We start from the raw sequence: 25,428 nt of genomic DNA on the forward strand, positions 1-25,428 counted from the left end.
AAGGGCATTAAAGAACTTTTTGGGGTGAATGGATCTATATCTTCATTATGGTAGCAGTTACTTAGGTGTATAAATTTCTCAAAAATCTATTGAAGCGTACACTTAAAATGAGTTCACTTTTATTGTATGCAAATTATACGTCAAAGTTTTTTTTTTAAAAAAAGAGCCTCTTAGATTAGACTCTCACAACTAAGAACTAAATAATTTCTAAGATTTTAGAGTTGCCTGAGACTGACAATTATTTAATATAGTTCCTTCACTTTAACAATGAGAAAATTGAGGTTTGGAAAGTTAAATGACTTATCCTAGGTCACACAATTCTAGAAAGAGCAAAACTGGATTTTGAAGTCACTTCAGGCTCCCACGCCAGTGTGTGTTCCAATTATATACACATGTAGTTCCTTGCAAATTGAGGTCTTTCCTGTTCTTCAATTTGATAAACAGATTCTTAATCCTGGGTACATGGATACATTGCAGGAACTCTGTGAACTCCTTAAAATTATGTGTAGGTTTTCGTGTTTTTGCAGTTGTGTATTTTTCTGAGTAAAAGATCCACAATTTTCTTTTTTCTTTTCTTTTTTCTTTTTTTTTTTTTTTTTGAGATGAGTCTTGCTCTGTAGCTCAGGCTGGAGTACAGTGGCTCAGGCTGGAGTACAGTGGTGCAATCTCCGCTCACTGCAAGCTCCGCTTCCCGGGTTCACGCCATTCTGCCTCAGCCTCCCAAGTAGCTGGGACTACAGGTGCCTGCCACCACACCTGGCTAATTTTTTTGTAGTTTTAGTAGAGATGGGATTTCACCATGTTAGCCAGGATGGTCTCACACTCCTGACCTTGTGATCCTCCCACCTCGGCCTCCCAAAGTGCTGGGATTACAGGCGTGAGCCACCGTGCCGGACTTCATTTGATTCTTAAAGGGTCTGGGCCTCAAAAAATGTCAACCTCTGCTCTCTTGGTTGGTATCCTGCAATTATTATTAATGCTTCAAATAAGGTAATTTCCAGTAGAGAAGTCATAGATTAATTTGCTTGCCTGTCAGTGAGCAATGTGTGCTACTAGATTGAGTTCCATATCAGCCACAGCCTTAGAAATGTATTAGTAAATTAAAAATTCAAAGAGTTGTAGCATCTGAACTAGGAATCATTAGAGGTGATCGTTACAGAGTGGCATGAGGAGTAAATCTGCCTGTTGTCTGCCCATGGTTTCATCGATTGTTAAATGAGGTTAATAACCACCATGTTGTGATCATTAAATGAAACCATGTTTTTAAAAAAAGGTGGTACAACAGAACTAACTCTTCCCTCACCTGCCGTACCCCTTCTTCTACTGCCCGCCTCCTTTTAAAAAGATGTCAATTACAGATTCTTTTTGTGAAAGATGGGCCTAAATAACTCTTGGGATATGGAAGGAGAGTAAGATACATTTTGAGTTTTGGTGTTTTATTTAGGAATGTCCAAAATATTTTATCAATCATCTGGTTATATAAATTAATATATAACTCAAAATATAAGAATATTTCCTTTTTATTCTCCAAAACAATGAAATTCCTATATGTGTGTTACAAAATTGCTTGTTATATGTCCATGTGTGTGTTGGTGGTTCTCACTAAGTAAATTATGCCCCATCTGATCCATAATGTGACACAGGGAACTATGTGAAACTATTGTACTGACTTCTCTCTGAAAACAATACCTATTAAGTGCTTTGTAATCTCAATAAGTAGAGAATTTCTCCTAACATCAATGCTACTGTTCATAGTACTGAGTGTTCTTTCAGATTTTGTTGAACTACCACCAATAACATTTTACTTTTTGTCTGAGATTTTTATGTATTAACTATATTGTCTAGGTCAAAGAATATAATTTATTAGGAAGTCATTTTTAGGCTGAGCACAGTCGCTTATACCTGCAATTCCAGCACTTTGGGAAGCTAAGGCAGGCAGATCACTTCAGGTCAGGAGTTTGAGATCAGCCTGGCCAACGTGGGAAGGTCCCATCTCTGCTAAAAATACAAAAATTAGCTGGGCATGTGGCATATGCCTGTAGTCCCAGCTACCGGGGAGGCTGAGGCAGAAGAACCGCTTGAACCTGGGAGGCGGAGGTTGCAGTAAGCTGAGATCACACCACTGCACTCCAGCCTGGGAGACAGAGTGAGGCTCCATCTCAAAAAAAAAAAAAAAGTCATCTTTAGATCAGATTTTGTCTTTCAGGCAGATGAGAAGCAGCATTAGCAAAGCGGTTAAAAGTGTGGGCTCTGTTGCTAGAACACCTGGGTACAAATCCTAGCTTGCCATTTAAATTTTACATAACTTCTCTGTGCCTCAGATTTTCCTTATCTATAAAATGAGAGTGCTGGTAAATATAAGTATTTAGGACAGTGCCTGGCAGAGTAAGCACTGTATGTTTTAAGCTCTCATTTTTATTTTTAAAAAATTGTATTCATCCCATGACAGGTGGGTATTCAGTTGGTGTAACTTACTGCTGTTATTAAATTGGGGGTGAAATGCAACAGGGATGATGAAAAGGAGGATCCCCACCCTAGATATTTCCTGGCACCAAACTGCCCTCCTTTTGGCTAGAATGACAGCAGAACCCATAACACCAAGCTAGTGCCCATGGGGGCCACATTACCACCCACCTGACATGGTTCTAGCTCTCTTAGAATCAAAATCACATGGAGGCTGCAGCCCCCACAAATAATCTCACAAATTGGAGTATTGCTAGCAGCAGGTGTCCATGGCTTTAGGAACCCGTGTACGCACCAGGCATTGGCCTTTCAGAGTGCCTACACCACTGCCAGCAGGGCCATCTTCTCTGTGGGCATCAGGCCAGCTCCAGAAAGAGAATATGTAGGGATGGGGCCTGGTGTTCAGGAGGCATGGTATGCAAACCAGTGGTTACCAGGGCAAGATGGGGTACAAGGTGCCAACTGCAAGTCACACACTGGCTCCAGTAGGGATGATGGAGTTTACTGATGGTGGTATCTGTATGACAAGACTTTGGGGAAGGTCAGCTGGAATGGGTACTGATTAATCAGGAAAGGTACTATATTGCCAGACCAGTATCTGTGAGGCCCCCTTTGGTTACTGGATTGTGGGGTCATCCAAGAGACTGGGCAGGAAACCTAACACTAAAATTTTATCCTGTGTTTCTGCTGAGCGTCTAAGGTGATGTAATATTCTAAATAAACACATACCCTATCTTCAGGTAGGAATTACATTTCCAAAAATAGTTTTTAAGTTGAGGGCCTGTTTGTGGCTGCCTAGAAAGGGCAAGTGCCTGAACAACACTGCTTTTGCTGTTGGGAAAGGAGGAAAAAAGCTACCATATTCCTTCTATCATATTGTTGCTTTAAGAGCCTATGATTGATTCCTTGAGGACCATCCCTGAAGGGAGTTACAAAACAGCTTTTAGCAGATTACTGTAAGGCACTTAAAGCTTAAGCTGCATTGTATTTCAGTCTATTTAGCAGAACAACTTGTGGTTCTTTCTGTCAGGCTAGTGAAATAGTAAAAATAAAGCTAAAAACTTACAATGAAGCTTCCATTTTTAAAAGGCCATTATTCAGATTGGGTAGAGTAAATTTGAATCCACTTCAAAGTCTATTTTATGCTTCTGATCTTCAACAAAGGCAGTTCTTTGTGTTCTTTGTCTTTACATCTGTACAATGGGTAGGTCATCATTCTGTCAAGCTAAGATCTTTTGGGAACTTATAAGTACTGTGAGAAACTGTAATATAGTTCAAAAAAGTACGGGAATATGCAACTTCATACCTTCATACCTGGTTAAATTGAGTGAGTTAATTCCTCTGAACATTAGTGATCTCATCTGCAAGTGTAGATAGCCTTCCCCCCCGCCTCCCGCTCCTTCTTTTATTTCTCATGGTTGGGGGCAATTACCTGAGAACATATTGGGCATAGAGATGGAAATCACCAGGAATTTGTTAGCAGTTTAGAGCTTAGGGGTAGCAATTATCATTTTTCTAGTCTCCCATCTTGTTTTCCAGATAAGAATAATTAAGGAACTTAACCAAGGTCACAAACATATTTGATGACTATAGAGAATTATAAAATATTCAAATTTGGGGGGAATATTGTGATTCTTTAGCATAATAATGAAAGCATGCCCTATTAAGTATGTATTTCCTACATGAGTAAGTAATGAATGGTTCTCAAAGGGATGTAGTTAGAGAATATACTGAAGAATCATTAAGAGGGAGAGCTTTTCCAAATTACAGGTTTTCTGCTCAGTTGAGGGGGGATGTCAGAATCACTGGGGAGGGACCAGTATTGGGAAGGCATAATTTTTTTTCCTCTCAAAAACTATTATATGCATATGGTTTTTTAAAAAAAGTTTATGCAAAAGGTTTTAGTGTAAACAATGAAAAGTAAGTCTCCCTGTAAATCCCCAACCTTAGAGGTAACTACAGTTAACAGTTCTTTATGTGTCCTTCTAGAAATGTTATATGTAAATGTGTAAGAATGTATATGTATTTTTTATTTTTATATGTGTGTATATTAATGGAAACATTTTATATGCTCTTCTGTAACCCTTTTATTGTTTTTACTTAGTATCAATATACAGTATATAGAGAGCTGCTTCTTTTTTTAAAGGACTACATAGTATCACATTATAAAGCTGCACCAATATTTAACCAGTCTCTTAGTGAGAGATACTTGTTTGTTTTCTGCATTTTTGTTTTTGAGACGGAGTCTCACACTGTCACCCAGGCTGGAGTGCAGTGGCGCGATCTCGGCTCACTGCAACCTCCGCCTCCTGGGTTCACACCATTCTCCTGCCTCAGCCTCCAGAGTAGCTGGGACTACAGGCGCCTGCCACCACGCCCAGCTAATTTTTTGTATTTTTAGTAGAGACACCAGTTTCACCGTGTTAGCCAGGATGGTCTCAATCTCCTGACTTCATGATCCACCTGCCTTGGCCTCCCAAAGTGCTGGGATTACAGGCATGAGCCACCACGCCTGGCCCAGTTTTCTGCATTTATTTATTTATTTATTTATTTGTTTGTTTGTTTATTGAGACAGAGTCTCACTCTGTCGCCCAAGCTGGAGTGCAATGGTGCAATCTCAGCTCACTATAACTTCCACCTCCCATGCTCAAGCGATTCTAGTGCCTCAGCCTCCTGAGTAGCTGGGACTACAGGCATGCACCACCACACCTGGCTTTTTTTTTTTTTTTTTGCTCTGTCGCCCAGGCTGGAGTGCAGTGGCGCTATCTCGGGTCACTGCAACCTCCACCTCCCAAGTTCAAGCAATTCTCCTGTCTCAGCCTCCTGAGTAGCTGGGATTACAGGCGCCCATCACCACACCCAGCTAAATTTTGTATTTTTAGTAGAGACGGGGTTTCGCCATGTTGGCCAGGCTGGTCTCAAACTCCTGACCTCAAGTGACCCACCCAACATGGCCTCCCACAGCGCTGGGATTACAGGGGTGTGCCACCGCGCCCGGCCACTTTTCTGCTTTTAAAACAGTGCAACAGTAAACATCCTGGTATGTCTTTAGCACAGCCCAATTATACCTACAGGATAAATTCCTAAACATGGAATTATCAAAGGGTATGTGTGCATTTTAGATTTTCATCAGTAACTACCAAAGAGATTGAATAGTTGACATCAAATGTATGTATTTAGAAACGCTCCCCTGGTATTCATGAAAAATATATTTCCTCTAAAACTCTGTTGCAGGGTAAGACTTGGTTTGACTCTAATAAACTGATATTTACTTTCTTGTCTTCATCTGAAGCCTGTGCCTACTACACTGGCACAAGTGGATAGAGAAAAGATCTATCAGTGGATCAATGAGCTGTCCAGTCCTGAGACTAGGGAAAATGCTTTGCTGGAGCTAAGTAAGAAGCGAGAATCTGTTCCTGACCTTGCACCCATGCTGTGGCATTCATTTGGTACTATTGCAGCACTTTTACAGGTGGGTTCATGTCCATGATTGGCAGTTCAGTTCTTTTCATTACACTTGTATATTTCTTTACCTTTGCCCAAATGATTTGAAGACTTTAGGAGGATGATTCTTTAAAAAACTGCATTTGTAAGAATCTGTTTTAGAAAGGTCTGAGGTATTTGTTAAAATGCAGATTCTTGGATCCTTACCCAAGAGATTCAATTTAGTCAGTCTGAGGTGGGCCCTATAATCTATATTTTAATAAGCACTTTCACCTCCCCCAGGTGATTGTGATGCAAGTGATCTAAGAACTACGCTTTGACGAACACCGCTTTAGGAGTACTGTAAGATAAATCTACATGACAGGGGGAGGAAGGTGGAAAGTAGAGTATAAGGACCACAAGGTACAATATATTCTATGGAAAAGAAATGGGTTTTTGGGTTTTTTTGTTTGTTTTTCTTTTTTTTTTTTTTTTGAGACGGAATCTCGCTCTGTCGCCCAGACTAGAGTGCAATGGTGCAATCCCGGCTCACTGCAACCTCTGCCTCCCGGGTTGAAGTGGTTCTCCTGCCTCAGCCTCCTGAGTAGCTGGGATTATAGGCCTGCATCACCATGCCTGGCTTTTTTTTTTTTAATTTTTAGTAGATACGGAGTTTCACCATGTTGGTCAGGCTGATCTTGAACTCCTGACCTCGTGATCCACCCACCTTGGCCTCCCAAAATGTTGAGATTACAGGCATGAGCCACCATGCCTGGCCTGGAAAGGAAATGTTGAAGGTATAACAGCTGTAGTATTAAAGGTGGGTACACTTGTACATTAAAGAATAGATAACTGAAGTTCAGTTCAAACCAGAATGGTCACTGGTGGCTAATTAACTGATATGGTACAATAACAATACCAAAATACCTAGGTAGTGGCATGATCATCCATTAAAGTATTGCCCCAAATTCCTAACAATTAGATTAACTTTTCAACTCTTAAGTAAATTCACATTCCATCTCTATTGCATTTAGCCAAGAAACTGATCTTTGTTATGGGAACGTTTTTCTATGTAAAAGTTTTACAAATAATGTAAATGGAAAATTGTAGCCAGGTGCAGTGGGTCATGCTTGTAATCCCAGCAGTTTGGCAGACTGAGTTAGGAGGATTGCTTGAGCCCAGGAGTTTGAGACCAACCTGGGCAACATGGCGAAACACCATTTCTACAAAAAATACAAAAATTAGCCAGGCTTGGTGGTACACTCCTGTAATCCCAGCTACTTGGGAAGCTGAAGTAGGAGGATCAATTGAGCCCAGGAGGTGGAGGCTGCAGTGAGCCATGATCATGCCACTGCACTCTGCCTGGATGACAGAGTGAGACCCTGTCTCAAAAAAAAAGAAAAAAAATGTAAATGGAATTGTATTGAGTAAATCATTACTTTTTGACAGATAGTGCATATATTCACTGCTGTTTATACATATCCCCACCCATTGATTCATGTCCTTACCATGTTACTACCTAACCAAATTCAAACTTCTTTATGAGTCACCGTGGTTGACTTAACACTTTCTGGCCAGTGATCTCATCACTGTAACTTAAAGCAGGATGCTAGCAAAATTATAAAAATTTGAGTATCCCTCAACTGATAGCCTCAGTAGCTGGAGAATATAAGAGGAAGTGTAGATGACTACATTTGCCTCCACAGAAATCTTCCTAGGCCGGGCGCAGTGGCTCACGCCTGAAATCCCAGCACTTTGGGAGGCCGAGACGGGCAGATCACGAGGTCAGCAGATCGAGACCATCCTGGCTAACACGGTGAAACCCCATCTCTACTAAAAATACAAAAAATTAGCTGGGCGTGGTGGCAGGCGCCTGTAGTCCCAGCTACTCTGGAGGCTGAGGCAGGAGAATGGTGTGAACCTGGGAGGCAGAGCTTGCAGTGAGTCAAGATCGTGCCACTGCACTCCAGCCCGGGTAACAGAGCGAGACTCCGTCTCAAAAAAAAAAATCTTCCTAGAGACAAATGTAGAAATGTGAGTCTCAAAAAAAAAAATCTTCCTAGAGACAAATGTAGAAATGTCTTAGCTAGTCTCAGCCAAGTAAGTTTGTGATGAAAGGATATGAGCATTATTTCTGCTCCCTCTTTGATGACTGAGTTCTTAAAAGATGCACAGAATTAAGAGCTATTTTATTTGCCTTTTTTTTTTTTTGCTTTATTACCATGGGAATTAATTTTTAGTTATTCCTTATTCATCTGATGCTGATTTCCATTTTTTAGGAAATTGTAAATATTTATCCATCTATCAACCCACCCACCTTGACAGCACACCAGTCTAACAGAGTTTGCAATGCTCTGGCATTACTGCAATGTGTAGCATCACATCCAGAAACCAGGTAAATGCTTTGGGTGAGTCACTTGGGGGAGATATACATTGAATATGGTCCTAAACGTTCTCTGAATAATAAAAGGAAGGGCATGGAGGAGAGAGAGAGAGAACGTTTGTGTGTGTGTGTGTGTGTGTGTGTGTGTGTGTGTGTGTGTCTCTCTCTCTCTCTCTCTCTCTCTCTCTCTCTCTCTCTCTCTCTCTCTCTCTCCTGGTCTTCCGGATTCTTATTTACTTTTACCCAATGAACTTTAAAGAAACAGTGTTCACATTACAGGAAAGGTATCAGGCATACAGCTACTTCTCACTCCCTGACCTGTTATTGACACTATGTCATCTGTGAGGCATAGTGCATGGCATATAAGAGGAGTTTAGTAATTATTTTTCCAGCACTTTTCCCACACTGAACCCAGATTTGACTTCAGAATCCTTCTTAACATAGCATTCTGGGCGGCCTCTATAATAGACGAGAATTGGCATGTAAGTTAAAATATTTTTGCCACCTGTCATATCTAAAAAATTAAGAAAAGGGAAATCCTGTTCAGGAATCTACTTTGTGGGCTTTTATGGCCCCAAAGGCACTTAATAGTCATCTTATTAAAGCCTTTCCTCTTTGTCAAGTTTCCTTATGAAATATGTATGCTAGGTTGGCACTGACCTTACACAGCTTTAGAGAAATTACTAAGAAAATTACTTTTAAGCACTTAACAAAAACACAAGAGTACTTTGAGTGTTAAAAATCTTGGGCGTTGGCTCTTCTACAAGGTGTAACTATAAATAATATAAAATAATAGACTGATTTCCTTATTAGTTGCCTGACTAAACTGTTTTCAGAATGGTTTGTGTATCTGAAATGCCCTAACAAAAAAAGAAGAATGTGCTTATTAAAGTATAGCAGGTAAGCCTGATAATGGCTGCTTTGTTTTGTTGTATTGGTTTGTAAGGTTTATTCGACTGCACCTGTGAATACTATTATTCAGTCATAGGTGAGGGAGATAATCTAGGACAATCTCTTGGACACTTAATAGCATTTTGTGGTCTATTTTTTAAAATCCACAATTGGATATTTTAAGTTAATCAGTTTGTAAGGTACTTTTTGCTGATTACAGGGAAAATCATGTGTTTTCTTAACCACTGTGATCTGGACTAGGGTTTTCAGCTTTGGCACCATTACCATTTGGGGCTGGATGAATCTTTGTGATGGAAAGGAGAGGGCAGGAGAGGACTGTCCTGTGCATTGTAGGATGTTTAATGGCATCTCTGGCCTCTTCCCACTGGATGCCAATAGTGCTTCATAATCCTGAGTTGTGACAATCAAAGATGTCTCCAGACATTGCCACATGTCCTCCAGGGGGCAAAATTTACCCCATTTGAGAACCATTGGTTGAGACTAATGACCAGTAACATTGTTTTCCTAAGGATTCCTTGCTCTGACAATGTTAAGGCCTTACAGAATTAACCACCTAGAAATTTGAAAGTTCAGGATCCTTAGAAATCAACCCTGGGCTGTGAATGTAATTATTGTTTTCTTCCAGGTCAGCGTTTCTCGCAGCACACATCCCACTTTTTTTGTACCCCTTTTTGCACACTGTCAGCAAAACACGTCCCTTTGAGTATCTCCGGCTCACCAGCCTTGGAGTTATTGGTAAGTTATTAGAATTGTTTTGCAAGCCTGAAATACTCACAGTAGTAGTCTAAGTTGGGTGTTTTGTCTTGCCGGTTATGATTTTTGTACACCAGTCATTCATTTTTGTCTTTGAGGTTGTCTCATTCACTAATCAATAAGTATCAGGAACATGATGACTCCTATCAAGCACTCTTCTAAGTGTTGTTAATAAGACTTTGAGATCCAACATTTGGGATTAAATTCAGCATATATGTGGAAACATTTGCTGGAATTGTAGGGAGAGTAAAGCATAAGAACTTGATTCAATATATAAAGAGTATTATTAAAGGAATAAGAGTTTAAATTTGGGACTTCTCCTCTTCCCTTCTCTCTTCTCTTCTCTTCTTTTCTTTTCTTTTCTTTCTGATAGGGTCTTGCTGTGTTACCCAGGCTGGAATTGAACTCCTAGGCTCAAGTGATCCTCCTGCCTCAGCCTCCCAAGTAATAGGGACCATGGGCACAGGCACACACCACTGTCTTTTTTTGTTTGTTTGTCTTACTTCTAATACCGGAATGCTTCGTATATCTGAAATGCCCTAAGAATATGCATGTCAAATACACTAAGCATTCTGAAAACCTGTAATTCTCCCATAACTCCAGGAATATGAATCTGTCAGTTCACCCAGTTAAATTTTTTCATCTACTTTTTTTTTAGTCTCTACTAAAAAAATAATGCAAAAATCAGCCGGGCGTGGTGGCATGTGCCTGTAGTCCCAGCTGCTGGGGAGGCTGAGGCAGGAGAATCGCTTGAACCTGGGAGGTGGAGATGCAGTGATTGCAGTGAGCCAAGATCACGCCACTGCACTCCAGCCTGGGCGGCAGAGGGAGACTCAAAAAAAAAAAATTAAATTTCCATGTACTAGCAATGAACAATAGGAAATTTATTTTTTATTTTATTTTTTTTTTTTTTTTTTGAGACAAGGTCTTGCTCTGTTGCCCACTCTTGAGTGCAGTGGCATGATCATGGCTCACTGCACCCTCAAACTCCTGGGATCACACAAATCCACCCACCTCAGCCTTGAGAAGCTGGAACCATAGGCACATGCCACCACACCTGGCTACATTTTTTTATTTTTTTGTAGACACAAGGTCTCACTTTTTGTTGCCCAGGCTTGTCTCAAACTTCTGGGCTCAAGTGGTTCTCCCACCTTGGCCTCCCAAAGTGCTGGGATTACAGATGTGAGCCACTGCACCTAGCTGAAATTTTTTTAAACTGCCATTTATAACAGCACCGAAATGTGAAAATTTGGGTATAAATCTTTAAAAATATATGCATGATCTATAACTAAAAACTACAAAACTGATTTCTAATGAAATAAAATGCAGAGATAAACCATGTTCATTGATTGGTGTATCAATGATTCAGTATTGTTAAGTTGTTCATTCTCCCCAAACTGATCTATAGATTCAGAGTAATTCCAACAAAATCCCAGCAGCACTTTTTTTAGAAATTGGCAGGCTGACTGCTATGGACTGAATTGTGTCCTCCCCAAAATTTCATGCTTTGAAACCCTACCCCCTCATGTCATGGTATTTGGAGATGGGACCTTTGAAAGATAATTAGGTTTAGATGAGGACATGGCCCTCATGAGGTTAGTATTCTTCTAAGAAGAGACACCAAAGAGCTTGTGCTCCCTCATTCGCTCTCTGCCATGTGAGGACATAGTGAGAAGCTGGCCATCTACAAGCCAGGAAGAGAGACTTTACAAGAACTATACCATACCATGCTGGCACCCTGATCTCAGCTTTTTTTTTTTTTTTTGTGAGACAGATTCTTGCTCTGTTGCCCAGGCTAGAGTGCAGTGGCATAATTTTGGCTCACTGCACCCTCCGCCTCCTGGGTTCTAGCAATTCTTCTGCCTCAGCATCCCGAGTAGCTGGGACTACAGGTGCGTGCCACCACACCCGGCTAATTTTTGTATTTTTAATAGAGACAGGGTTTCACGATGTTGGCCAGGCTGGTCTTGGAACTCCTGACCTCAGGTGATCCAGCTGCCTCAGCCTCCCAAAGTGCTGTGATTACAGGTGTGAGCCACTGTGCCCAGCCTGATCTCAGACTTTCAGCTGCTAGAACTATGAGACAATAAATTTCAGTTGTTTAAGCCACCAGTCTATGGTATTTTGTTATGGCAGCCTTCTAATAGACTGATCCTAAGATTTATATGGAAAGCCAAAGGAACTAGAATATCCAAACATTTCTTTAAAAGAACAAAGTTGGAAGACATATACTACCTGAGTTCCACACCTACTGGAAAAATATAGTAGTCAAGGCAGTGTAATACTGGAGAAAAGAAAGATTTACAGACCATTGGAGCAGAATGAAGAGTCCAGAAATAGACCCACACATATATGGTCAGTTGATTTTTGACAAAGGTACAAAGACAATTTAGTGCAGAAAGCTTTTTTTTTTAGAGAGAGTCTGTCACCCAGACTAGAGTGCAGTGGTGCAATCTCAGCTCACTGTAACCTGTACAGGTTCAATTGATTCTCCTGCCTCAGCTTCCCGAGTAGCTGGGATTACAGGAGCCTGCCACCATGCCTTGCTAATTTTTGTATTTTTAGTAGAGACGGGGTTTCACCATGTTGGCCAGGCTGATCTTGAACTCCCGACCTCAAGTGATCTGCCCGCCTCGGCCTCCCAAAGTGCTGGGATTACAGGTGTGAGCTACTGCGCCGCCCTCTTCCTTTTTTTTTTTAATACGAGTGTGAATCTGATTCCTTTAACAAACCCCAGTTTGTGTTCTGTTATTTAAGTTCACAACTCACTGGATAAACAGTTCGAAGTTAATGTTAACTGGAAACCCTAACTGTAAAATAATTTTGTTTGTCCTTATTTTCTTTAGGGGCCCTGGTGAAAACAGATGAACAAGAAGTAATCAACTTTTTATTAACAACAGAAATTATCCCTTTATGTTTGCGAATTATGGAATCTGGAAGTGAACTTTCTAAAACAGTATGTACTTTTAACTTAGATTTTACATTGTGTTGACTCTTAAGCTGCTTCCTTATGGTCCTGGGATCATTTTCTCTCTTCAAGCTTTTGAAATTTGTATGAATATTTTCTGTTTTGAATAAAAATTATTATGAAACAATTATTGAAAAACCCAAACCATTCAGAAGAAAATCAAGTTAAACACTAAATTTCTTTTCTCCAAACCCACATCTCACTCCACAGGTAAATTCTAAGTATATTATTACGGTTTCATTTTTTTAATTTTAAAATTTCAATCCTGCTCCTTCTATAACCGGGCTTTTTTAAAATACATAATCAATTATATGTACTTGAGCTTCTGCTTACTATGTACTTTAACCATGAATGACAACATGACAAGGTACAGAATTCTTACTCATTGTACAGAATTCTTACCTCATTGTTCTGTCTCAGACCTCCATTGCCATAGTCCTTTTGTCTTCTAACATTGAATATTGCAGAGAAGTCTCAGGGTCAGCCTAATTCTTTCCTTTTTTAGGTGAACTTACTTTTTTGTGTGGTTACCTACAAGTGTCTTTTATTATTTTTAAAGTTCATTTGATAATCATATATCTTTTTTTTTTTTTTTCTCTGAGATGGAGTCTTGCTGTGTCACCCAGGCTGGAGTGCAGTGGTGTAATCTCAGCTCATTGCAACCTCCGCCTCCCGGGTTCAAGCAGTTCTCCTGCCTCAGCCTCCCAAGTAGCTGGGACTACAGGCATGTGCCACCATACCCAGCTAATATTTGTATTTTTAGTAGAAATGGGGTTTCACTATATTAACCAGGCTGGTGTTGAACCCCTGACCTCAGGTGATCCGTCCGCCTCAGCCTCCCAAAGTGCTGGGTTTACAGTCATGAGCCACTCCACCCGGCCTTTTTTTTTTTTTTTTTTTTTTTTTTGAGATGGAGTGATGTAATCTCAGCTCGCTGCAACCTCCACCTATCAGGTTCAAGCAATTCTTCTGCCTCAGCCTCCCACGTAGCTGGGACTACAGGCACACACCACCACTCCTGGCTAATTTTTTTTTTTTTGTATTTTTAGTAGAGATTGGGTTTTGTCATGTTGGACAGGCTGGTCTTGAACTCCTGACCTCAGATGATCCGCCCACCTTGGCCTCCCAAAGTGCTGGGATTACAGGCGTGAGCCACCTCACCCAGCCTCAATTTTTTTCTGAAAGAGCATATTACTTGTGTCTTTTTTGTTGATTTGTATATTTTTCTCTTTTATTCGTTCAAGTCTCTTGGTTCAACATCAGTTATGCTCTATTATCTGTCTTTCATATTTTTTTCTCTAATCACTTTCAATTTTTAAATTTCATATTATTTGATTTTTTTCAAGGTTACTTTTCCATACTGCTGACAATTTTGGGTAGTATTCAACCTCTGCTCTAAAATTTGCCTTGTCACATTAAATTACTTTTTTAGTCTAACAAATATTTTATTCTTGAGTTGGGTGTAAGCAGGTATAATGATTTTTTTGGCTTTTTACTTTTAAATATATATATATGGAATGCTTCATGAATTTGTGTATTATCTTCGCACAGGGGCCACACTAATCTTCTCTGTGTTGTTCCAATTTTAGTACATGTGCTGTCTAAGTGAGCACTGGTTTTTTAATTTTTAATTAAATTATTTATTTATTTAGAGACAGGATCTCTGTCTGTCACCCAGGCTGGAGTAGAGAGGCATGGCTCACTGCCGCCTCGACCTCCTAGGTTCAGTTGATCCTCCCACCTCAGCTTCACAAGTAGCTGGGACCACATGCCTGCTCCACCACACTCAGCTAATTATTTTTATTTTTTGTAAAGACAAGGTCTCCCTATGTTGCCTGGGCTACTCTTGAACTCCTGGGCTCAAAGGATCTTCCTGCCTTCTGCCGTAGTACTAGGAGTACAAGCATGAGCCACTGTGCCTGACCAATTTATTGTTTTTAAAGAGACAAGGTTTCACTATGTTGCCCAGGCTGGAATGCAGTGGCTATTCACAGCCATGATAATGGCACACTATAGCCTTGAACTCCGGGGCTCAAGCAGTCTTCCCACTTCCCTCTCTGGAGTAGGTAGCTTTGATACTGGCACACATCCCTATACCTGGCTATTTTTAAGCTTTTTATTTTAAATATTCAATATATGGATGACTGTCAAAGGCATTGTTGAGCAAAAGAAGCCAGACACATGGGAATTCATACTGTATGTTGATTATGTGAAGTTTAAGAACAAGCAAAGCCAATTACTGGCAATAAGTTGGATTCGTGGTTAGCTCTGAGGAAAGAACATTGACTGGGGAAAGGTACAAGGGAATGCTGGAATCCTGAGTTGGTAGAAATATTGCTTTTTTCTGTTTTTTTTTTTGTTGTTGTTGTTTTTTGTTTTTGAGACAGTCTCACTCTGTCACCCAGGCTGGAGTGAAGTGGAGTGATCTCGGCTCATTGCAACCTCTGCCTCCTGGGTTCAAGCAATTCTCATGCCTCAGCCTCCTGAGTAGTTGGAACTACAGGCACACACCATCATACCCAGCTAATTTTTTGTATTTTTAGTAGAGATGGAGTTTCGCCATGTAGCCCATGCTAGTCTTGAACTCCTAAGCTCAGGCAATCTGCCTGCCTCCACCTCCCAAATATTCTGTATTTTATACAATATTTTGTATTTTAATCTGGTTATAGTACATAATGTGTACATAGGTAAAAATTCAAGGTACACTTAAGATTAGTGCACTTAACACACTTCACTGTGTGTAAGTTTATATTAGGTTCCTATATAACCTGCTGCTATAACAAATTACCACAAGCTAGAAGGGTAGTGGCTTAAAACAATGGAAGTTTACTGTTTTATAGTTTTGGAAGTCACAAGTTCTAAATGAGTTTCACCAATCTAAAGTCAATGTATCAGGAGGGTCATGCTTTCTCTGGAGGATATAGAGGAGAGTCTTTTTGTTGCCTTTTCTAGCTTCTAGAACTGCATTTCTTGCATTCCCTGGATTATGGCCCCCTCCCTCTTCAGATCCAGCGATGTGGCATGTTCAAATCTCTTTCTGCTTGTCACATTGCTTTCTCCTTTGTGGTAAAATCTCTCCCTACATCTCTCTTGTTGTTGTTGTTGTTGTTGTTGTTTTGTTTGTTTGTTTGTTTTAAGAGATGGGGTTTTCTCTGTCGCCCAGGCTGGAGTGCAGTGGCATGATCATAACTCACTGCATCCTTGAACTCCTGGCCTCAAGCAGTCCTCCCACCTTGGCCTCCCAGAGTGCTGAGATTACCAGCATGGGTCACTTTGCCTGGCCTTCTCTACATCGCTTTTAAGGACACTTCGTTATTACATTTAAGGCCTACTTGGATAAACAGGGATAATCCCCCATCTCAAGATCCTTAACTTAATCACGTCTGCAAAGTCCCATTTTTCATTTAAGGTAACATTTGCAGAGTTTGGTGATTAGGGCCTGGATATCTTTGAGAGCCATTATTCAGCCTACTACAGTGTTATAACCCCAATAAAATAGTAAAATAATTCCACAGTTCATTTTGATGAGCAGCCAAGAAAGAGTATCATTATCGTGATTGTCTAATTTAAATTAAACTAATATTTTAATATCTCTTTTATGTAAGAGCTAATGAGCTCAAGTTGAGGGAAAAATTGAGGCCACATATAAGCTTCACAGCCAGGATATGTTTTATTACTGTTAGATAATCTTCAAAGAGAAGCGTGAAAATCTTATTTCTTCAAGATCTTTTAAGAACAAAAAAGGCCTTATCTCAGCCGAGTGCAGTGGCTCACGCTTGTAATCCCAGCACTTTGGTAGGCCAAGGCAGGTGGATCACGAGGTCAGGGAATTCAAGCCCAGCCTAGCCAAGACGGTGAAACCCCGTCTCTACTAAAAATACCAAAATTAGCCAGGCATGGTGGCAGGAGCCTGTAATCCTAGCTACTCGGGAGGCTGAGGCAGGAGAATCAGTTGAACCAGGGTGGCAGAGGTTGCAGTGAGCTGAAATGGAGCCACTGCACTCCAGTCTGGGCGACAGAGTGAGACTCCATCTAAAAAAAAAAAAAGAAAAGAAAAAAGAAAGAAAGGCCTTACTTCATCTGGAAGAGAGGAGGCATAGCTGAATAAATCATCTTGGCCTATGGAAAAGAGAAGAGCCTTAGATATTCAAATGAGGCTTGGATCTCAGCTGTGCCATAGTAACTTTGTCACTTGGGACCTTAACCTGGTGCATTATTGATTAACAGTTATACCGGGCACATAGTAGGTACTCTGTAAATGAGAAGGTCTCTGAGTTTTTAAGAATTTGATAATTACACGGAACCTACCCTTGTATGTAAAGTGAGAATAATAATGGTACCTACCTCATTGATTTATTATAAAAATAAGATAAGCATGTAAAGCCTCTAGAAAAAAAAACTGGTACAAAGTAATGTTCAACATGGTAATATTTATTATTCTTTGTACTATACATATATGATAAAGTTGTACATAATATACAAGGATCCCTGCTTGCTCAATTTTCTGACTGATAGTCATGCCTGGGAAAATGAGTAGAAAATGAGAAGATTAAATCTGAGCAACTTTATAAACTCTTCGATTTTGTTTTGCTTCAGGTTGCCACATTCATCCTCCAGAAGATCTTGTTAGATGACACTGGTTTGGCTTATATATGTCAGACGTATGAGCGTTTCTCCCATGTTGCCATGATCTTGGTGAGTTCTTTCATCTATCCCCTTTACAACTACTTCTCATCACAAAGCTTAATCTCTTTATAACTGGCATTGAACAACTTCAGTCCTCTGACTAGAACTAACAATTTTGGAACCTTTTATGATTCTTGGACTATCTGATCTCTGATGTCAATTAGAATTTGTTTGTGTTTTGTGTGTTTTTTCCAACCCCTCCCCTTATTTTGGGGGAAACAGGGTAAGATGGTCCTGCAGCTATCCAAAGAGCCTTCTGCCCGTCTGCTGAAGCATGTAGTGAGATGTTACCTTCGACTTTCAGATAACCCCAGGTAAACATTTATAGGATGTATAGGACTTTAGGGAAATACTCTGCTGAACAGTTTCCTAATCTCATGGCATAGCTCCTGTGTCTTTAGGACAGGGAAGTGGGGATATAACTGCATTTAGTTTGTCTGAGACAGAACTTAGATTCTTTTAAAAATCTGAAATGCTGAATTTTAGTAGCCATCAGTTTCATCTTCTCACTGTAACTCTCCATCCTACTGTGAAATTCCAGAGAGTCTAGGCGATTCCAAAGGAAACCTTATGATGCATTACTCCTGTTGTTTGAATTTTCTGTTGCTACTCTACGTGGTCAGAGAGAGAAGTATATTTTCAAAGATCTCTTAAAAAGGAACACAGCCCAGAGGGCTCTTGAATTCTATTTCCAATTCTGTCCTTGATTCCTATAAGTTTCTTGAGCTAATTATTTTATCTGCTTATGTTCATAATCTTTCTGCCAGAAATCATACACTGTAGATATAATGCATTTTAGAAATGTTTGACCTTTTGCTTTGTAAATCCATAATTCATGCTGAAAGCAACCTGCTCATATTCTGCTAAACCACGTAATGGAGCAATTTCTGTGTTCCTGGGAAGAGAGCTAGCTTGATTTGATTTAATGTGAACTCAGTCTCCTGCCACTGAGTTTATTCAAGCCCTACCTGTTTGTTGACCATTTTATCCTGTTCTTCAGTGGTTCTTGTTTCACTAAAGTTTAAAAATGTGTTTATTTAAAATTCTACTTGTACAAAGAAAACTAGTCTGAGTGCAAAAACTATAACTTTGTTTAAAATAGCTCTACACATAGTTAACATTTACCTTTTTTAGGTTTTCAGATTTGACTTTCTGCTGGTCATCTTTTCAAAGAAAATGAAACGTTTAAAAGTTCATCTGATAATACTGCTACCATAGTTTTGTTTTCACTGCTCATCTCTTATTAAGGTTTTTAACCATAAAACTGAAGCAATTTCTGTAAAGACACAAATTGATAACTTAGTATAGAATTAAAATTCATTAAGTTATCATAAGTTTGATGATATCCTTGTTAATGTACTGATTTTTGAATTATTTTATTTGCCATAATCCATATATTTCTAACATGAGTATTTTGACAGTATTTAATAAATCAGAAAGCTGTTTGAATGGAAGTAAACTATTGAACCTTTTAATTTTGCTTTTTCATGAAATTCTACATTGGGGCATCATTCAGAAAATATTTGTGGATACAGATTTTGGAGATCTCTAAGCCTATGCCTAATATAGCTTTAGAGAATTTTAATGGCTTCTTAAGGAGCCATAGATTCACAGTATTCTAAATATTTATGTCTAAGAAGGGGGCTCTTCCCTGTCCACAAAATGTGGGTTTATTTGTTGGTCTCCCTGGTTGGTTTGTTTGTTTCTGATGTAGGGCACGTGAAGCACTCAGACAGTGCCTCCCTGACCAGCTGAAAGACACAACCTTCGCCCAGGTGCTAAAAGATGACACCACCACGAAACGCTGGCTTGCACAACTGGTGAAGAACCTGCAAGAGGGCCAGGTCACCGATCCCCGGGGTATCCCCCTGCCCCCTCAGTGATCCTTCCCTGTTCCCTCCCACTACTCCCCCAAGTTGGGGAAAGGAGGGGGAACCTACGAGAAAAACAGCTCAGGTTTTATCACCGACTGGGAATAGACAACCTCAATGCTGAACCGCACTGGAGAAAAGGGGCAAGGTACCCCTGCTGAGGTGTATGGGCTGCCATCTCAGGCTGTCTTGAGGACCTGGGCTCCCTCTGCTACTCCCAGGAAATGGGCTCCTGACACAGCAGTCTGCCACCACAGCCCCAGGAGGGTGTCAACACCAGCAAATGCTGTATTTGCAGCATGTCCAAGATGACCCTTCTCCCCTACCTCTACCTAGCCACTGGCAGGGAGGGGAGACAGTGGTGATAGCAGCAGCACTCTAGGCATGGTGAACGCCTGGGACCAAGCCATGTGGCGTTTTTTATTTTGCCTTTCTGGAAGACTCAAGATATGTCTCTTCATTCTCTCTCAGTATTTGTTTACTTTGGTTTTTTTGTTTTTAATCTCAGAGAGAGGTGTGTTTAGTGGGCACAAGCTGTAATATTCAGCAAAACTTTGTCGACTGGCACTGTTTACAAGTCTGTTAGCTGCATAAGCTCAATAAAAAGTTGGTCTGGGCATTACATCCCCTCTGGCAGGCCAATAGCTGCATCAAGCTGTTGGGAGAAATGGGAGGGCAGGGGAAAGATGTAAAGCCAAAGTACAGCAGGAACCCACCACCTGTTTCCCTTCCTTCTCCCATTCTACTCCCAGTCCGGAATGCCACGAGGACCTTAACCTTGTTTCTGGCTTTAGCTGCTAGTTTTCCCAAATCTCAGTGCTTTCCCTTTTTGAACTTCCCTTCTATTAAACTTAAAACAGATGTCTTAATTAATCAGGCTGTCTTGGAAGGGTATTGTATTGGGAGACAAGGGGCGGTGGTGGACCTCACCTTCAATCCAAGTTTTCAAAGATATTTTCTCAATAACTCTAAAAGGGAGGTGCTTGGGATTAAGGTGACAGTCCACTTGATCCTTTTCTTTGTTTTAGTGTGAATTTCAGCAGCTCCATCTGTCTTCATGATTGTACTTGAGCAGTATTAGCTGTATGAGTTAATTTTATTCAGATTGAAGATGGAGGGCTGGGTTCTGCTCACTCAGTCTTTTTTTTTTTTTTTTTTTTTTTTTTTTGACCATTCTCTTTTAGTCTATGGGAATTACAGGGTTGCCGCTAAAATATTCACTTGTTCATATCGTGTCAGAGATTTCCTCTTCTCTGGAGCTTAGGTGGCTCTTCACAATCCATAGGCTTGAATCTGCAACCTAGTGTAAACTGCCTTGCTTTCCCCGGTTCTTTCCCCTGCTAGCACCTGCTTTCTCATCCCTATCTCCAGTCAAAGATGGGATTGCTTAATCCAACTCTGGAGAGGGACCAAGTCTTTTCTGCCCACATCTCACACAATTGAGGTGTCTGAACAAGCTTGGGGAGGGTCTATAAGGGGTAGGCTCAAAAAAAAAAAAACCCATTTGCAGAGGCAGTTTTGCCAACACAAGGGCTCTTTCAAGCCGACTTTCACAAAGAGAGCCGGACTTGTTAGTTGGCTTCTGTCTCTTTAGAGCCAAGAAAATAGTAATTAAGTGGCCTAGATATAGGAAGGGCAGAATAAGCACTTACTCCCCCTGCCTTCCAAGATGAAGAGGAGAAGCAGGCCAACCCTCAATAATTGCAAGCCTGAAGAGAAGTGATCTTAGAGAAAGCAGAGAACAGAATGGACTGGATAGACATCTTGACTCTATTCAGCCCGTAGTCTGTGATCTGGAGAGTCCAGTTAAGGTAACCCAGATTTTTGACAACCGCCTTCCTGCTGAGCCAAAGTTTTCTCATTACCCCTCCACTGGGGAAGCAGCTGAGGCCCAGGGCCTTGCTCCCTGGGAAATTCTCTTCTCTCCATCTTTCGGTGCATTGGCCATGTTACTGTGCCAAAGTGTCTTAATTCTTGTCCCATCTATTCTCAGCTGGCCTTGGAACCCACATAGGAGTTGGTGGGGGAGGGATGGAATGGGTATTATTCATTGTAGTTGATCCTGGTGTGTGTATTATATAAAGAGACCCCTCCCCTTATTTTGTGTTTTCCATCCCTCTCCCTTAACAGGATTGAAATAAAACATGCTTCTGTTTTTGTAAAAATAATTTTTCCTTTACACTGGAGATTTTATTCTATCAGTATATGGGTAACTAGGCACTTTGGTCAGGTGATCCTTGTCATGCCTGCTTCTCCCCTCTGTCTACCTACACAACACACACACACACACACACACAGCCCTGCTAAGATGGCAGTAGTGGTTCTTTTGTGAACATGTTTTTTGGGGAGACTCCATCTGAGGTACAAAAGCTGTTTGGGAGGCTGGGAGGGGGATGATGCCCCTTACCTGATAAAAGTATGTTTTACTGGGACAGAACTTCACTCCTGGCCATATTGGCCAGAACTTAGTGCCAGTGTAGGGAGAGACTTCCATAGTGACAAGGTAATGCTTGAAACATCTTACGAACTTTGATGTTCATTTCCTCAAGTTCAAGGCTTGGAGCACATCTCCAGGATTGTTTCCATGCCTGGCTGTCAGTGGGACACAGCTGCCCTATGCTTCCACGTTCTTTTTTCAAGAGCCTTAGAGGGCCTGTGGCCTGTTTCACTGGTGGAACAGGAGCAGCATTGGTAGCCTTCAGAGCATGCCTTGCTTACTAACTACATATTATTCCTCTGCTCATTGTTCCTGCTGCTTAAAGGCTAGGAAAAGGGGGATATACAAAGTTGTTGCTTTCAAAAACTCAGAGAAAAAATTTGGAATAGGAAACCTTAGAATGAAATTATATTTTTCTTTCCTGATACATTATGGAATTTAATTTTTGGAAAAATATTTTCATATGTTTATTTCAAAAGCAGATATAACAAATAGAAAATTTGTTGGTTTGTTTTGTTTTGTTTTTGGGAATTGGAGTTTCGGTCTTGTTTCCCAAGCTGGAGTGCAGTGGCATAATCTCAGCTCACTGCAACATCTGCCTCACAGGTTTAAGCAATTCTCCTGCCTCAGCCTCCTGGGTATCTGGGATTACAGCCGCCCGCTGCCACATCCTGCTAATTTTTGTATTTTTAGTAGAGACGGGGTTTCGCCGTGTTGGCCAGGCTGGTCTCGAACTCCTGGCCTAAGGTGATCCGCCAGCCTCAGCCTCCCAAAGTGCTGGGATTACAGGCATGAGCCACTGTGCCTGGCCAACAAGCAGAAAATTTGAATAACAATTAACATACCTGGCTTAAATGACATTCATAGAACACTGCACTCTTAACCAATAGTATACATACTCTTTTTAATTACACCTAAGCATTTATCAGAACTGATCATAGCTGGACCATCAAGCCTCAAAAAGTTTTCAAAAAATTTAATATAATATTCTCTGGCCACAGTGGAGTAAGCTAGGAAAAATAACTAGAAAGTCCCTAGCTGTTTGAAACTTAGGCAGTACAATTCTAAATAACCCGTGGGTCAAAAAAAAATCACAAAGGAAATTAGAAAAAAAATACATATATATCTGTATCTATACATATAGATACATATGTTTTTGAGGAAGAGTCTCACTGTTACCCAGGCTGGAGTGCAGTGGCGTGATCTCAGCTCACTGAAACCACTGCCTCCTGGGTTCAAGTGATTCTCCTACTTCAGCCTCCTAAGTATCTGGGATTATAGGCACATGCCACCATACCCACCTAATTTTTGTATTTTCTTAGTAGAGATGGGGTTTCACCATGTGGGCCAGGCTGGTCTTGAACTCTTGACTTCAAGTGATCTGCCCACCTTGGCCTCCCAAAGTGCTGGGATTACAGGCATGAGCCACCTTGCCCAGCCTAGAAAATATTTTTGGTTAAGTGATAAAGCTGAGAGCAGGGTAGGGTGGCTCTCGCCTGTAATCCCAGCACTTTGGGAGGTCAAGGCAGGTGGATCACTTGAGGTCAGGAGTTCGAGACCAGCCAGGCCAATATGGTGAAACCCCATCTCTACTGAAAATACAAAAAATAGCCAGGCGTGGTGGCGGGCACCTGTAATCCCAGCTACTTGGGTCACTGAAGCAAGAGAAGTGCTTGAACATGGGAGGCTGAGGTTGCAGTGAACTGAGATTGTCCCACTGCACTCCAGCCGGGACGACAGAGACTCAAAAAAAAAAAAAGGAAAGCTGGGTTCTGTGGTTCATGCCTGTAATTCCAACACTTTGGGAGGCAAAGGTGGGAGGATTGCTTGAGCCCAGGAGTTCAAGAGCAGCCTGGGCCACATAGTGAGACTCTGTCTCCACCAAAAAATTAGAAAGTTAGGCATGGTGGTGCACATCTGTAGTCCCAGCTACTGAAGTCGGGGGATTGCTTGAGTCTAGGAGCTCAAGACTGCAGTGAGCCACCATCACACTACTGAACTCCAGTCTAGGTTACAGGAAGACCCTAAGAAAATTGAAATGATGGCACGATGTAAGTGACTCACACTTGTAATCCCAACACTTTCAGAGGCCAGGATAGGAGTATCACTTGAGGGCAGGAGTTCAAGACTAGCTTGGACAACATAACAGGACCAAAGTCTTGCTCTGCCGCCTCAGCTGGAGCAGTGGCATGATCTCAGCTCACTGCAACCTCTGCCTCTTGGGTTCAAGCAATTCTGCCTCAGCCTCTCAAGTAGCTGGGATTACAGGCTCATGCCACCATGGCAGGCTACTTTTTTTTTTGTATTGTAGTAGAGATGGGGTTTCTCCATATTGGACAGGCTGGTCTCAAACTCCTGACCTCGTGATCCGCCCGCCTCGGCCTCTCAAAGTGCTGGGATTACAGACATGAGCCACCGTGCGCAGCCAACCCCATCTCTTTAAATAAATAAATAAATAAATAAAGCTGAGTGTGGTGGCACTCCTGTAGTCCCAGCTACTTAGGAGGCTGAGGCAAGAGGATTGCTTGAGCCCAGGAGTTGGAGGGTGCCGTGAGTAAAAAGAAATATATGGCCGGGCGCAGTGGCTAACGCCTGTAATCCCAGTACTCTGGGAGGCTGAGGCGGGCGGATCATGGGGTCAGGAGATCGAGACCATCCTGGCTAACACGGTGAAACTCTGTCTCTACTAAAAAATACAAACAATTAGCTGGGTGTGGTGGCGGGCACCTGTAGACCCAGCTACTCGGGAGGCTGAGGCAGGAGAATGGCGTGAACCCGGGGGTGGAGCTTGTGGTGAGCTGAGTGTGCCACTGCACTCCAGTCTGGACGACAGAGCGAGACTCCGTCTCAAAAAAATAAAATAAAAAATAATTTAAAAAATATATAACCTTGGCTGGGTGTGGTGGCTCACACCCATAATCCCAGCACTTTGGGAGGCTGAGACGGGTGGATTACTCAAAGCCAGGAGTTCAAGACCAGTCTGGCCAACATGTGAAAACCCCATCTCTACTAAAAATACAAAAATTAGCCGGGTGTGGTGATGTACATCTGTAATCCCAGCTACTTGGAAGGTTGAGGGTTAAGAATTGCTTGAACCCAGGAGACAGAGGTTGCAGTGAGCCAAGATCGTACTACTGCACTCCAGCCTGGGCGATAGAGTGAGACTCTGTCTAAGAAAAAGAAAAGAAATATATAACCTTAAATTCACACATTGCAAAAGAAGAAACACCAAAGCCAGTAATCTAATATAAAGTTCCAGAAAAAGGGAATAAATCCCAATTCACTTTTGAAGCAGCATAACCTAGACAACAAAACTGGTTAAGAACATTACAAGAAAGGAAAACCAGGGACAAACCTCTCCCATGAATGTAGATATAAGATTCCCGGACATACTAAATCTATCAATATATAAAAATGATAATGCATTAGATCTAATTGGGATTTATTGCAAAAATAGAAGATTGATTCAATACTTCAAAATCAATCACCAGGCGCGGTGGCTCATGCCTGTAATCCCAGCACTTTGGGAGGC

At 41.2% G+C, this 25,428-nt stretch overlaps 1 protein-coding gene and 1 pseudogene across 6 annotated transcripts in view, besides 1 other annotated feature; one reads left to right on the plus strand and one right to left on the minus strand.

Moving 5' to 3' along the window:
• Nucleotides 1-22,275, plus strand: part of CNOT9 (CCR4-NOT transcription complex subunit 9) — a 28,242-nt gene extending 5,967 nt beyond the window's left edge. Inside the window, exons 2-9 of one of the 6 annotated variants that reach the window (NM_001271634.2) lie at nucleotides 5,756-5,935; nucleotides 8,166-8,281; nucleotides 9,807-9,916; nucleotides 12,500-12,595; nucleotides 12,781-12,890; nucleotides 17,499-17,597; nucleotides 17,811-17,902; nucleotides 19,303-22,275. In NM_001271634.2, coding sequence (NP_001258563.1) covers nucleotides 5,756-5,935; nucleotides 8,166-8,281; nucleotides 9,807-9,916; nucleotides 12,500-12,595; nucleotides 12,781-12,890; nucleotides 17,499-17,597; nucleotides 17,811-17,902; nucleotides 19,303-19,471 — 972 coding nt within the window. In that variant the 3' untranslated portion in view covers nucleotides 19,472-22,275. Of the gene's footprint in view, nucleotides 1-5,755; nucleotides 5,936-6,204; nucleotides 6,310-8,165; nucleotides 8,282-9,806; nucleotides 9,917-12,499; nucleotides 12,596-12,780; nucleotides 12,891-17,498; nucleotides 17,598-17,810; nucleotides 17,903-18,722; nucleotides 19,043-19,302 lie in introns of those variants that run through there. The other 5 variants (NM_005444.3, NM_001271635.2, XM_047446272.1 and 2 more) reach the window with 5 other exon arrangements.
• Nucleotides 2,807-3,307: an enhancer, noted in NCBI's record as "H3K27ac hESC enhancer chr2:219442335-219442835 (GRCh37/hg19 assembly coordinates)". NCBI's record gives its function as "activates a minimal SCP1, AML or CMV promoter by ChIP-STARR-seq in primed H9 embryonic stem cells {active_cell/tissue: H9 hESC(primed)}" and the evidence as "EXISTENCE:reporter gene assay evidence [ECO:0000049][PMID:30033119]".
• Nucleotides 14,409-14,515, minus strand: RNU6-136P (RNA, U6 small nuclear 136, pseudogene; annotated as a pseudogene).
• Nucleotides 22,276-25,428: the final 3,153 nt, after the last annotated feature.

The sequence above is a fragment of the Homo sapiens genome, chromosome 2, assembly GCF_000001405.40.
Source record: "Homo sapiens chromosome 2, GRCh38.p14 Primary Assembly".
In the NCBI taxonomy this organism is placed as follows: Eukaryota; Metazoa; Chordata; class Mammalia; order Primates; family Hominidae; genus Homo; species Homo sapiens.